Below are 12,802 nucleotides of genomic sequence, written 5' to 3'. Positions count from 1 at the left end.
CGGCTCCCCACTTCCACTGCCTCCAACCCTCCAGGGTCTTCCACTCCTACGTCCTTCGTGGTCTTTCCAACATGGACACCTGCCCGTGCCCTCTCTGGCCTGGTGAGCTAGCTGCACTCCTTCCAGCCGGCCACAGAATCCACGTCAAAGCACAGCTGGGGGCCTCACTGGGGTCCTGCAGTGGCCACCCAGGAAGCCCAGGCCTGAACGCTAGGATGCTAATAAGCCCTGTGCCCATCCCGCTGCACTCCTGCCACCCTGTTCCTCCTCCACCAGGAAGCCTGCCACCTGAGAAGGCCTCAAGGCACTGGTTCCTCTTGCCTGCCTTCCTGAGCTCACCCAGAGCCTGCTCCCTCCTCTGTTCTCACAGTTCTTGGTCAACATCCTTCTTTTTCTTCTTTTTGAGATGGAGTCTCGCTCTGTCACCCAGGCTGGAGTGGAGTGGCGCCATCTCGGCTCACTGTAATCTCTGACCCCCGGGTTCAAGAGATTCTTCTGCCTCAGCCTCCTGAGTAGCTGGGAATACAGAGGTGTGCCACCACGCCTGGCTAATTTTTGTATTTTTAGTACAGACAGGGTTTCACCGTATTGGCCAGAATGGTCTCGAACTCCTGACCTCATGATACGCCCGCCTTGGCCTCCCAAAGTGCTTGAGCCACCATGCCAGGCCAACACCCTTCTTTTAAAAGATATTCCACGCCATTGTGGCTGCTTAGCAATTGCAGCAACACTAACAGGCTCCACGCCAAGCAGAGAACTCTGCCAGCGCTTCGCGCCCAGCACCCGCTTAGCCCACGCGACAAACTCTGGAAGGCTAATGCCCCAACATGAGGGGCCTGAACAACAGACATGTACGGAAGTGACGTGCTCAAAGTCCAAGGGTGAAACCAAGAGAATCTTGGTAACACAGTGCTACCTGCCTGGGGCCAGGAACCATGCCACTTTGAGTCACAAATTTAAAAGTAAAAGCATTTTGGTTTCAATTAAGGTGCAGAAAAGGAATAATGGCAGATAAAGTCCCCCTGCATCTTGAAGTAAATGGGGTTGCTGGCTCAACATAAACATTTAGTCATTTTGAAAAAGCTCATGGCTGGGCGTGGTGGCTCATGCCTGCAATCCCAGCACTTTGGGAGGCCAAGGGAGGAAGATCACTTGGGCCCAGGAGTTTGAGACCAACCTCAGCAACAAAAAAGCAAACAAATCTCTACAAAAACAAACAAATATTGGCTGGGTATCATGGCACATGCCTGCAGTCCCAGCTACTTGGGAGATTGAGGTGGAAGAATTGCTTGAGCCCCGGAGGTTCAGGCTGCAGTGAGCTGTGATCGCACCACTGCACTCCAGTCTCGGCAATGAGAGTGAGACTCTGTCTCAAAAAAAAAAAGAAGGAAAAAGAAAAAGAAAGCTCACCAGTGTCTTAACCTTAAGCACAGGATTTGAGAGAAATGTGCATGGACCACAAGTCCCATGAGACCTGAACTGTATAAAAGTTACTGATGCCTGGACCAGGTGTGGTGGCTCACGCCTATAATCCCAGCACTTTGGGAGGCTGAGGTAGGTGGATCGCGAGGTCAGGAATTTGAGACCAGCCTGGTCAACGTGGTGAAACCCCGTCTCTACTAAAAATACAAAAATTAGCTGGGCATGGAGGCGGGCGCCTGTAATCCCAGCTACTCGGGAGGCTGAGGCAAGAGAATCGCTTGAACCCGGGAGGCAGAGGTTGCAGTGAGCCAAGATTGCGCCACTGCACTCCAGCCTGGGCAACAGGGTGGAGACTCCGTCTCAAAAAAAAAACAAACAAAAAACTGACAGCACGTCACTGATGCCCAAGCCCCCCACCCCCATCATCAGACTAACTCCTATCACCATCCCATTAATAACAATGTCCTACGGTCAAATAATCTGACCCAGTTTTAACCAATAGTTTTTACCTAGTCCCTAAAATATGCAAGGATCAAAATGGCTGATCTGGGTTTAATCCTTTCCTGTGTATGTGGGTGTGCAGTATGTGGATGCGCAGGGACTGACCTGCACCTGTACGTGGGTGTGTATGTGCATGTGAGGTGTGTGGGTGTGTAATGTGTACGTGTGGGTGTGATGTGTGGGGTGACGTGTGTGTGGGGCTGTGATAGGTGTATGTGGGGGGTGATCTGTAGGTGTGTGTGTGGGTATGCAATGTGTAGGTGTGTGATGTGTGCATGTATGTGTGGGTGTGTGTGGGGTGATGTGTAAGTGGTGATCTATGTGTGGGGGGGTGGGCAATGTGTGTGTGGGGGGTGATCTGTGCGTGTGGGTAACTGTGTGGGGTGATTGTGTATGTGTGTGATTGTGGGTGACTGGGTGTGCAATGTGTGTGCATGGGGGTGATCTGTGTGTGTGTGGGTATGCCTGTGTGGGGTGACTGTGTATTTAAGGGTGTGTGATATGTGTAGGGGGTGATTGTGTATGGATGTGTGATGTGTGTGGGGTGATTGTGTATGTGGGTGTGTGATGTGTGGGGGGTGATTGTGTGTGGTTGTGTGATGTGTGGGGGGTGATTTTGTGTGGGTGTGTGATTGTGTGGGGTGATTGTGGGGGTGTGTGATGTGTGTGGGGTGATTGTGTGTGGATGTGACTGTGTAGGGTAATTGTATGCGTGGGTGGGTGTGTGATGTGCGTGTCGGGTGATTGTGGTGTGTGGTGATTGTGTATGTGATGTGTGTGTGGGGTGACTGGGTGTGAGGTGTAGGGGTGTGACTGTGGGTGTGCAATGAGTGTGCGTGGGGGTGATCTGTGCGTGTCTATGTGTGGGGTGACTGTGTATGTGTAGGTGTGTGGGGGGTGATTGTGTGGGTGTGTGAGATGGGGGGTGAATGGATGTGCAATGTGTGTGCGTGGAGGTGATTGTGTGTGTGGGGTGATTGTGTACGTATAGGTGTGTGATGTGTGTGGGGGGGGTGACATATGTATATGCCATAAAACTCTCCCCCAGTGGGAAATGTTACAGGACAAATGACCTGCTTTTTTGGGGTTTTTTTGAGATGGAGTCTCACTCTATTGCCCAGGCTGGAGTGCAGTGGCATGATCTTGGCTCACTGCAACCTCTGCCACCCAGGTTCTAGCAATTCTCCTACCTCAGCCTCCCGAGTAGCTGGGATTGCAGGAGCCTGCCAACGTGCCCGGCTAATTTTTGTATTTTTAGTAGAGATGGGTTTTCACCATCTTGGCCAGGCTTGTCTTGAACTCCTGACCTCGTGATCCACCTGCCTCAGCCTCTCAAAGTGTTGAGATTACAGGCGTGAGCCACTGCACCTGGCCAACCTGTTTTTTTTGTTTGTTTGTTTGTTTTTTTAAGACAGGGTCTTCCTCTGTTGCCTAGGCTGAAGCACAGTGCCGCAATCACAGCCCAGTGCAGCCTTGACCTCCCAGGCTCAAATGGTCCTCCCATCTCAGCCTCCCTAGCAGCTGGAACTACAGATATACGTCACCATGCCCAGCTAATTTTTGTATTTTTTGTAGAGACGGGGTCTCACTATGTTGCCCAGGCTGGTCTCAAACTCCTAGGCTCTAGTGATCCCCCAACCTTGGCCTCCCAAAGTGCTGGGATTACAGGTGTGAGCCACTGTGCCCAGCCTAAATGACCTGTTTTCTTTGACAAATAAAGGCAAGCAAGAGAGGGCTAAAAAGTGAGAAGTGGCGTGGCATAGATATTACAGAGGCTTAACAGAGCTTTCAACCAATCACAAGGCATGGACTTTATTTAGATCTTGATTCCAACCAACTATAAAGCCATTTATGACATCTGAATTTGAAAACTGGATATCTGATGATAGGAAGGAGTTAGTAGCTGAGTGGTAACGGTATTGCAGTTACGTTAAAAGAGCCCATATGAGTCAGAGATCGCTAACACCAACAGGTGACACGGTGCCTGGGACTCGCTTCAATATGGTGGGAAGGGGAGAGGTGGGAGGCAGCTCCAACAGCCGCTGCGCTTCCACAGTCACTGACACTGCAGAGCAGGCGTGTGGGGGTGCATTATTTTATGCTGTTCTAGTTTTGTAAATATTTTAAATCTTCCATTAAAAAAAAAAAAAGTTAAATCAAGAACAGACATTTCGGGGGGCTGAGGTGGGATGGTCACCTGAGCCTGGGAGGCGGGGGCTGCACTCCAGCCTGGATGACAGAGCGAGACCCTCTCTCAAAACAAAGAAATCCCCCAGGCATGGTGTAGCACGTACAGAAAAGGAAAAGTCTTCATAGACGTCAATCAACAAGGACTTCAAACCAATGCAGAGTGTATGCAGGATCAAGAACCCAAACTGGTTTTTTTTTCCTTTTTAGTATGACAAAGACTCGGAACAGGAAATGCAGGTCAATCCCACTGGGGACAGGACCTAGGAGGGATGCCTGGAGGGAAACCAAGGGATACGGACTATCCGCGCCACTGTTTGGGGCACTCAGCCCAGAGAGGGCACAGCAGCGCATGGGAAGACCCAGGAGGGACCCGCGCCCTCCTCTCTGGGCCTCCCTTTGTTGTAAGAGGGGGGTAATCCCACTTCCTTCTCAAGGACACACACAAAAGCCTGCCACAGGGCATGGCCACGGGGCTCAGTAAGTGGGTCCACTTTGCTTTCTGTCTCTGGCATTATTTTTTTTAAAAAGGGGGGTACGTGGCTTACAAAGTACTTTCTAACATGTAAAGAGCACTATAATGATACAAGTGCTGACCCTCCCAATGCCACTGCAGAGGAGGTGGGAAGGCTTTCATTATCCACACCCCATCCAGCTGACAGAAACCCAAAGAGGAGGCGACCCGCCGAGACGCCCTGTGGCACAGCCACGTCTCCACCCGGCCCCCCTCAGTTCCAGCCCAGGGACTCCATCAAAGGGGCTACGTCCTCAGACAGCACTTTACGTAGGGGCCTTCCTGAGTCGCGCCACTTGCCGGCTACGCTGTGGGAAGCCAAGAACACAAAGCCCGCTGACCTGAGCCCACTTCTTGTTTCGGCTCTGCATCTGGATCGTGGCGATGGAGGCAAACAGCTCCTCGGCGGGCAGGTCCTCGGGCAGCCGGGTCAGGAACTGGGCCATGTGAATGAAGTCCATCTTGGTCAGGATGTCCTCGAACAGCTTCAGGATGCCCAGGGCCGTGCGGAACAGGAACTCTTCCCCATCGCGACAGAACACGTCCCAGATACGACAGGCCAGGTCGAGGGGCAGAGATTTACTATATAAGGTAAAGATCCTAGGGGGTAAAAGTTGGAATTTTTCAGATTTTGAATCTCTCCTAACAAAGAAAGAACAGTGAATTCCAGTCTGATTCCATGAAAAACACTCCCCTAGTCACTTTCAGGCAACAGCTGGGGCCAGGGCCAGGCCTGCACTCACACTGAAGGGTAATTCTAACATCGCTCAGGACACAGCACTATCAGCTTCCGCACAGAATCATGCAGCACACAGCTTCCGAATGACTGACAGCAACGACTCCTGCCTGCAAGGAATATGTGCTGAGCCCCTACTGTGTGCTCACGCTGTGGGGGCAGGCATCCTGTCTTAGGGGCCGCTGTACGCCGCGCCACCCACAGAGCAAGCGTACGGTAGGTGCTCCTCCTGGCTATGGGGCTCAATGCTGGCGCCACTGCACAGGTTCCCCCCGCCCTGGGAGCATGCACGAGGCTCCTTCCTCCTCTGGGTGCCCTTAGGCTCCTGGTCCCCAGCCTGGTGCTCATCATGGCACACCCTAGCTCCACATCTAGTGCCCTGTCCGGCAATCTCTGCTGAATTCCAACGCCCTGTCTGCGGCAGGACTTCCCAGACGCTCCTGGCTCTCAAAACCTGCCCAACACTGACAGTGCTCGGTACAGGTGGGGATCCCCAGCTGGGTGGGGACATCTCCACCCCTCCTGGAGGACCTCTCTTACGGAGTTCAGTATTTCCTGTGCTGGCACAGAGAAAGTGCTGGGCCCACAAAGCCCCTGAACTGCAGGCACTGGACTCGGCCTGAGGGGCTGACTCGGTCAGGAGGTCAGGCCACTAAAGCTTCCACAGTGTGACCCTGACTTTCCCATAACGATTCCACAGAAAACCCCGCACACTGGTCAACCTGCTCACAAGTGACAGGGGCATGGGTTCTGCCCACAGTGGACTCCGGCCGGGGGGTGCTCCGTTAGATGCGGCCTGTCCTCCAGGTCCCGAGGACATGCAGTTATGGACGTGCATTGCACAGAGCCCACAGCTCCTAGATGAGAGCAGGAATGTTCCAGGCTGTCCCTCATCAGAACCTTCTAACAGTAAAAGTCGAGGAAGGCCTAAAAATCTAGACTTCATTCAACTCAGAGGAGGGAACGGAGAGCCAGATGCCAGGGAAAACCTGCACCTAGAGGAACAACAGAAGCTGGGCGCACACCGGGCGCTGTGTGCTATGCGAGCCCCTCCGGAAGGACACCCCATGCATCAAGAAATGCCCGGGAGACGGGCTCTCTCATCTCACTACACCTGACAGAACCGCGCCTCAGGACAACAGCTAAACGGACCCAGGTCTCACCACCAGTAAGTCCCGAGCCAGACTCTGAACCTGACTCCAACGCCCACGCTCTGATGTCTGAGCCTCAGCACACACCATGAGGCAGCAGCACCGTCGCAGGCTTGGTAGGAAGCTTGATTCTAAAATCACAAGCCTTCAGCCCGAGCTTCTTGCTGTTTCAAAACCAGAAAACCATTTCACCACCTGGTCTAGAAAGTACAGTTCAAGAAAGAACAAAGAGATCTTTTGTTTCCTTAGTCTAGAGAATATTCTCAATTGTACCTGGAGAGCATGCTTGTTAACACTATGAGAAAGGGCAGGAGAGTCCACTCGGCCTGCACAACTATCTCTGTGTGCCCACTCACACATGGAAATCAGACTCTCCCTACATCTGCTAAAAAGCAGAGTCCTGAGAAAAAAACGGATGGGGAAAGACGACAATGTTTTTTGTTTTGTTTTGTTTTTTTCTTGAGACGGAGTCTCACTCTGTCGCCCAGGCTGGAGTGCAGTAGTGGTGCGATTTCGACTCACTGCAACCTCCACCTCCCAGGTTCAAGCAATTCTGTGCCTCAGCCTCCCAAGTAGCTGGGATTACAGGCGTCCACGACCATGCCCGGCTAATTTTTGTATTTTTAGTAAAGATGGGGTTTCACCATCTTGGCCCGGCTGGTCTTGAACTCCTGACCTCGTGATTCACCTACCTTAGCCTACCAAAGTGCTGGGATTACAGGCGTGAGCCACCACGCCCAGCCAAAACAACAGTTTTTATATAGTTTATACCCATACATATTTTATATATATAGTCAAATAGTTTTTATAGCAAAGAGAACAAAAGAGATTTCTACAATGTACCCCCCCAAGCCCAAAGAACTAAAGTTTGTTCTTTTTTTTATTTAACATAATATTCTTAAGCTGAGATTTATGTGTGAGTCTCCATAAGTTACTCTAGACAGGTAATGAACTTTATAAAATTAAGTCACCACTGGAATGACCCAGAATGCCATTCACTATGCCCACGATGCCCCCTGCTCTGCATTTCCATGAGACAAATCCATTTCCAATCCCATGAGCTTCCACCTCCTGGCCATGCTTACTGCTGACGCCGTGCTGCGACCATGCCTGGCTACTCACTGCGGCCTCTGGGCTTGTTCCTGGCATCAGCCTCTGTCCCCTGCAGGCTCTTCCCACATGCTGTGTGTCACTATTTCTTGGAAGGTCATTTCCTGACCCTCAGGCTGGACCAAGTTTCCTTGAAATGTTCACGCTGCACTGCACGCACCCTCCTTCATGAGGCCCTGGCATTCTTCACCTTCCTTTACACTGAGTCAGTGAAGGGACGCTCCTGACACTCCTGGACACTTCCCTCTGCCTCGCATACCATCCTGCATCTTTTGGGCCTTGCAGGCTCTGGCAGGCCTCTCAGCAAGCAGCTCCCAGGCCCTCTGCCCCAGTCAGGGCTCCCCATGGCCTCTCCAGCCCCTGGACTCCACTCCAAGAGCTCTGCACCGTCCTAAGCCACTTCTGTCCCCTGCTCCAGGCTGGAAGTGCCTCAAGGGCAGAGACCCCGCCCCACAGTCTTGAACTGAGGCTCCTCTTCTCCCATTCTCTCCTCCAGCAGGGACTGCTCAGAGGTGCTCCCACATCATTATCAGGAGCTTCCAAATGTGGGCTTTATTTTAAACCACATTTAGATTTGAAAGCCAGCCGTGAACAGGCCACTGAAGGGGGACACCAGGCTCTGTCCTGGCCCCAAAGAAGCCCTGCCATGGGATCAGAACCGGTCGGAACAAGGGGGCTACTGTCCACACGGCCCTCCTGGTTCAAGGTCCACCTTCCCCTGCTGCCCTCAGGCTCACAGAAGCAGGACGGGAAGGGCCCCTTGGCCTTCCCAGAGACGGCTCAGTACTCCTCCCATGGTCGGAAGACAGAATTCAAGGGTTTTTCTCTCCCAAAAGATGTTTACGTTTTGCCTCCGACCACTGCATATTATTGCGTTGTAGATCAAAAATGGTATTTTTTTAAAAGTAATAAATAAAAGTATGTTTTTAAAAGTAAAAAAAAAAAAAAGTAATTTCAAGTACAACTTCAACTAATGCAAAATAACATAATTCTTCTCTTTTCTTTTTGTTAAGACAGGGTCTCACTGTGTCGCCCAGGCCAGAGTGCAGTTGCACAATCACGGCTCACTGCAACCTAGACCTCCTGGGCTCAGGTGACCCTCCTAGCTCAGCCTCCTGAGTAGCTGAGACTACAGGCACACACCACCACACCGGCTAATTTTTAAGTTATTTGTAGACATAGGGTCTCACTGTGTTGCCCAGACTAGTCTTGAACTCCTGGGCTAAAATGATCCTGTCACCTCAGCCTCTCAAAGTGCTGGGACTATAGACATGAGACACCACACCCAGCCCAAAATGATATATTTCTATGTCGCTAAACAAATGACGTGTCTCTCAGCTTAGAAAAGACCCCAGACAAAAGCTGCGTATCTGTTTCCCCCGTGATACGTGAGGGAGGAAAGGGGCAGTTTTTGCTGATGTGTCTTCACAACTTCCAGAAAATTCTTACCTAGCCAGGTCTGTTCCGCCTGCTTGTCTGAGCTTGCTAGAGGCAAGGAAGCACCATGGGGTAAGGACGAGGGCAGTTCAGGGCTGTCGTGAAGGAGGAAGACGGCATCCACGGAACAGAACTGGCCTCTGCCCTGTCTACTAATCAGGGCCCCGGGCTGCACACAACAGAAAGTGCTCGTTTCATACATTTTTACAGGGACTGTTCATCTGAATCCTTGTTACAACCCCAAGAGGAGGTACAATCGTCTTTTCCATTTTACAGAGGAGGACAGTACAAATAAAGGGAGATTAGCTGGGCATGGTGGCATGTGCCTGTAATTCCACCTACTTGGGTGGCTGAGGCAGGAGAACTGCATGAGCCTGGGAGGCGGAGGCTGCAGCGAGCCAAGATCGCACCACTGCACTCCAGACTGGAAAGAGTGACAATACGTCTCAAAAAGAAAAGAAAACAAAACAAAACAAGAAAAAACTCAACCAAATAAAGGGAGGCTGTGGAAAAGCAGATCTAGCTTAAAGTAAAAGGGAAAGTCAGCAGGTAGTCTCACCCATTAAGAAGCCAAAACCAGCAACTTGGACCTTCAAGGCCCAACATTACCAATTTCTAGCTGTGTCCCCATTTTCCCAACCTGACCAGCTGCTAAGGAGGCGCCCTCACTCCCAGGCTGGCTCATGAATGGCACTCCGCCCCTCCCCCAACCACAGGGCTCCCTGTATTCCCAGAAACATCAACAGTTAGATTAGACAGTGCTAGGTAAGAACAGGGTTACTACTGAGCCTCATTAGATTTTGTGAAGCTTAAATAAAGCAACATTAAACTCCAAACACACAATCCCATTTGTTAAAAGTTGGAGATGGTTACTTAAGACTCAGTTCAAACTTAGTTAAACCCATAAACTGCGCTCACCTTGATTCTGAAAGCAATTAGACATATATCCAGCTCTGTGTCCCAGAGTCCTCCCCACCCTGAGCCCAGTGGGGTTCACATACCCACCTCTGTGCCCCAGAGTCCTCCCCAACCTAAGGCCAGAGGAGTTCACATACCAACCTCTGTGCCCCAGAGTCCTCCCTAACCTGAGCCCAGCAGGGTTTACATACCCACCTCTGTGTCCCAGAGTCCTCTCCGACCTGAGCCCAGCGGGGTTCACATACCCACCTCTGTGCCCCAGAGTCCTCCCTGACCTGAGCCCAGCGGGGTTCACATACCCACCTCTGTGCCCCAGGGTCCTCCCTAACCTGAGCCCAGCGGGGTTCACATACCCACCTCTGTGTCCCAGAGTCCTCCCTGACCTGAGCCCAGCGGGGTTCACATACCCACCTCTGTGCCCCAGGGTCCTCCCTAACCTGAGCCCAGCAGGGTTCACATACCCACCTCTGTGCCCCAGAGTCCTCCCTGACCTGAGCCCAGCGGGGTTCACATACCCACCTCTGTGCCCCAGAGTCCTCCCTAACCTGAGCCCAGCAGGGTTCCAGTCTTTCTGTCCCAGCACTTGGCAGGGGCCAACAGACATGAAAGTAAACATCATGAGCACCGCATGAGAATGCAGGCTCCCACTTCAGCCAGGCCAGGGTGTGCCAACGATGCACAGGCTGCTGCCCCTCCCTTCGAGCAGGTCCCCAGTGCAGGCAGGGGACGCTCTTCCCTCCTCCACATGCCCATAAAGACCCAACCTAAGCCAGACGTGCTCAGCAAGATGCTCCCGGCTCCTAAGGCACTCGTGGGGCAACCTGTACCCCAGAACTGACAGGCCAGAGACGACCCAAGTGCAAGAGGCAGCAGAAACGGAAACCTCCCAACAGTCACTCCCCCTTGAACCTTTCCTTTTAAATGGGAACTCGAGCTGGGCGCGGTTGCTCACGTCTGTAATCCCAGCACTTTGGGTGGCCTAGTTGGGAGGATCACGAGATCAGGAGATCGAAACCATCATGGCTAACACAGTGAAACCCCATCTCTACTAAAAATACAAAAATTAGCTGGGGGTGGTGGCGGGCGCCTGCAGTCCCAGCTACTCAGGAGGCTGAAGCAGGAGAATGGCGTGAATCCGGGAGGCGGAGCTTGCAGTGAGCCGAGATCCACCACTGCACTCAAGCCTGGGTGAAAGTGCGAGACTCCATCTCAACAACAACAACAACAAAAAAAGATGGAAACTCCAGGCAATGACAGCATCTCCAAGGATCATTAAACATAATTTCAGAAACGCTAACCATAACATGGAATGTAGTCCCCGATTCTTTTGTTAGCTCAAGATTATTTATTATAAAGCTCACTCACACCTCTAGATAATTCTGCCACTGGCCGGCAATGGGAAATATTTTCAGAAGTGAAATGACCTAAAGTCAGTCCTACAAAATGTAGATGCTTGACAGTCGAAACACTGAAAACTCTGTAGGAAGACGGAGACAGCTGAAGGGCCCCTGCTCTGATCCACATGCCTCATCGGGAGGAGTGGCAAGCCACAATTAAAGAACGGCCAGGAAGGCGGTGTTGGAAGGACAGCGAACCCTCAGCCCTGACTCCTCATGAGCCACTGGTTAGGCAGCGTACAGGGTGCACTGGAAAAGGGACCGAGGAAGGTGACCCTCAGGCACAGACGCATTCTTTGACCTAGGACACTGAGCCAGGCATGGGGCCAGGCACTGGGGACACAGAGGTGACTCTTGAAGCTTTACCACTGGGGCAGCAGCTGACAGAGGGGACCCTCAGAGAGTGGGTGGAGCTGGGGCGGTGGGGAGCAGGTTTGGTGGGCAGGCAGTGTGGCAGGACAGGAGATTTTTCTGACCCAAAGTGTAGCCATTTTAATGGGCTACCCACACAGCCCACCCAGGACGCTGAGCTGGCCACACCCACAGGCCCCTCAGCCCCTGCCGCGAGCAGGAGGAAGGCTCTCTTGCTCAGGCAGTTAGCTGCTGAGCCCTGGAACTTAGCATGCTTTATACCCCGCCAGGCACAGTGCAGACCCATAATGTGGAGGCAGGCCCAGCTGTGATGGGTGTGGACGTGTCTCTGGGAAAGGTGGTCTGATGTAGCAGAAGCAGCAAAGACCCCGAAGGCAAACCAACCTGGACCTCACACCATGGGCCTCAGTGACTTCTTCTGTGCCCAGAAATAGGTACACCTGCTCCTGAACACTGAAGACCACAGTGACGAGTGCTTCTGAAATGGCAGCTTCTAGGACAGGTCTTATGTAAAGTCTGTTCTTCCCCTTTGCTTCCTCCCTACTGCCCAACCTGTTTCTGATCTGAGCTTTCACCGAACTGTCAGCACCCAACAAGGAGCCTGAATCACTGCGGACCACCAATAAATGCTGACTCAGGAAATAAGTCATGAATACATGGCTTTCCTGTGCTTAGTTCAACTTAAATATTTACTAATGCCTTTCTATATGCCTTGCCCTGTACTGGAACTGCGAAAACAGACTGTATCCTAGCTGGTGCTTATTCTAGAACACAGTCAGCACTTCAAGAATAAGGCCTGTGGAGGCCTCGTCAAAGCACAGTGGACAGCATTCACAAGGCCCTGGGCACCAACCAGCTCACAGCACAAAGGCCTCAGCAGTGAAGAACCCTTGCCACTTCCTTTTCATTTACTCTGCCTCACTGCTCATTACTGACAGTCCAACCCAGGTTCTACACTCGACATGCTATTCCTGTCTCTGGAACCTGAGCTATGGGACCCATCTTATGGGTGACACTGCCTCACACAAACCCCCTTAGAAAGGACTCTAAGGGAAAG

The 12,802-nt window shown here is 52.0% G+C and overlaps 1 protein-coding gene across 17 annotated transcripts in view, besides 1 other annotated feature; it reads right to left on the bottom strand.

Annotated features, from left to right (window-relative positions):
• TBC1D14 (TBC1 domain family member 14) overlaps positions 1-12,802 on the bottom strand; it is a 123,649-nt gene that overhangs the window by 2,887 nt on the left and 107,960 nt on the right. For 15 of the 17 annotated variants that reach the window (XM_011513508.2, NM_001113361.2, XM_017008477.2 and 12 more), the window contains one exon: positions 4,966-5,224. In XM_011513508.2, the coding sequence (XP_011511810.1) occupies positions 4,966-5,224 (259 nt within the window). Of the gene's footprint in view, positions 1-4,965; positions 5,225-8,898; positions 9,228-12,802 lie in introns of those variants that run through there. The other 2 variants (XM_047416001.1, XM_047416002.1) reach the window with 2 other exon arrangements.
• Positions 7,923-8,500: an enhancer, noted in NCBI's record as "H3K27ac-H3K4me1 hESC enhancer chr4:7023455-7024032 (GRCh37/hg19 assembly coordinates)". NCBI's record gives its function as "activates a minimal SCP1, AML or CMV promoter by ChIP-STARR-seq in naive H9 embryonic stem cells {active_cell/tissue: H9 hESC(naive)}" and the evidence as "EXISTENCE:reporter gene assay evidence [ECO:0000049][PMID:30033119]".

The sequence above is a fragment of the Homo sapiens genome, chromosome 4 (genome assembly GCF_000001405.40).
Source record: "Homo sapiens chromosome 4, GRCh38.p14 Primary Assembly".
Lineage (NCBI taxonomy): Eukaryota > Metazoa > Chordata > Mammalia > Primates > Hominidae > Homo > Homo sapiens.
This window is presented reverse-complemented; position numbering and strand designations above follow the sequence as displayed.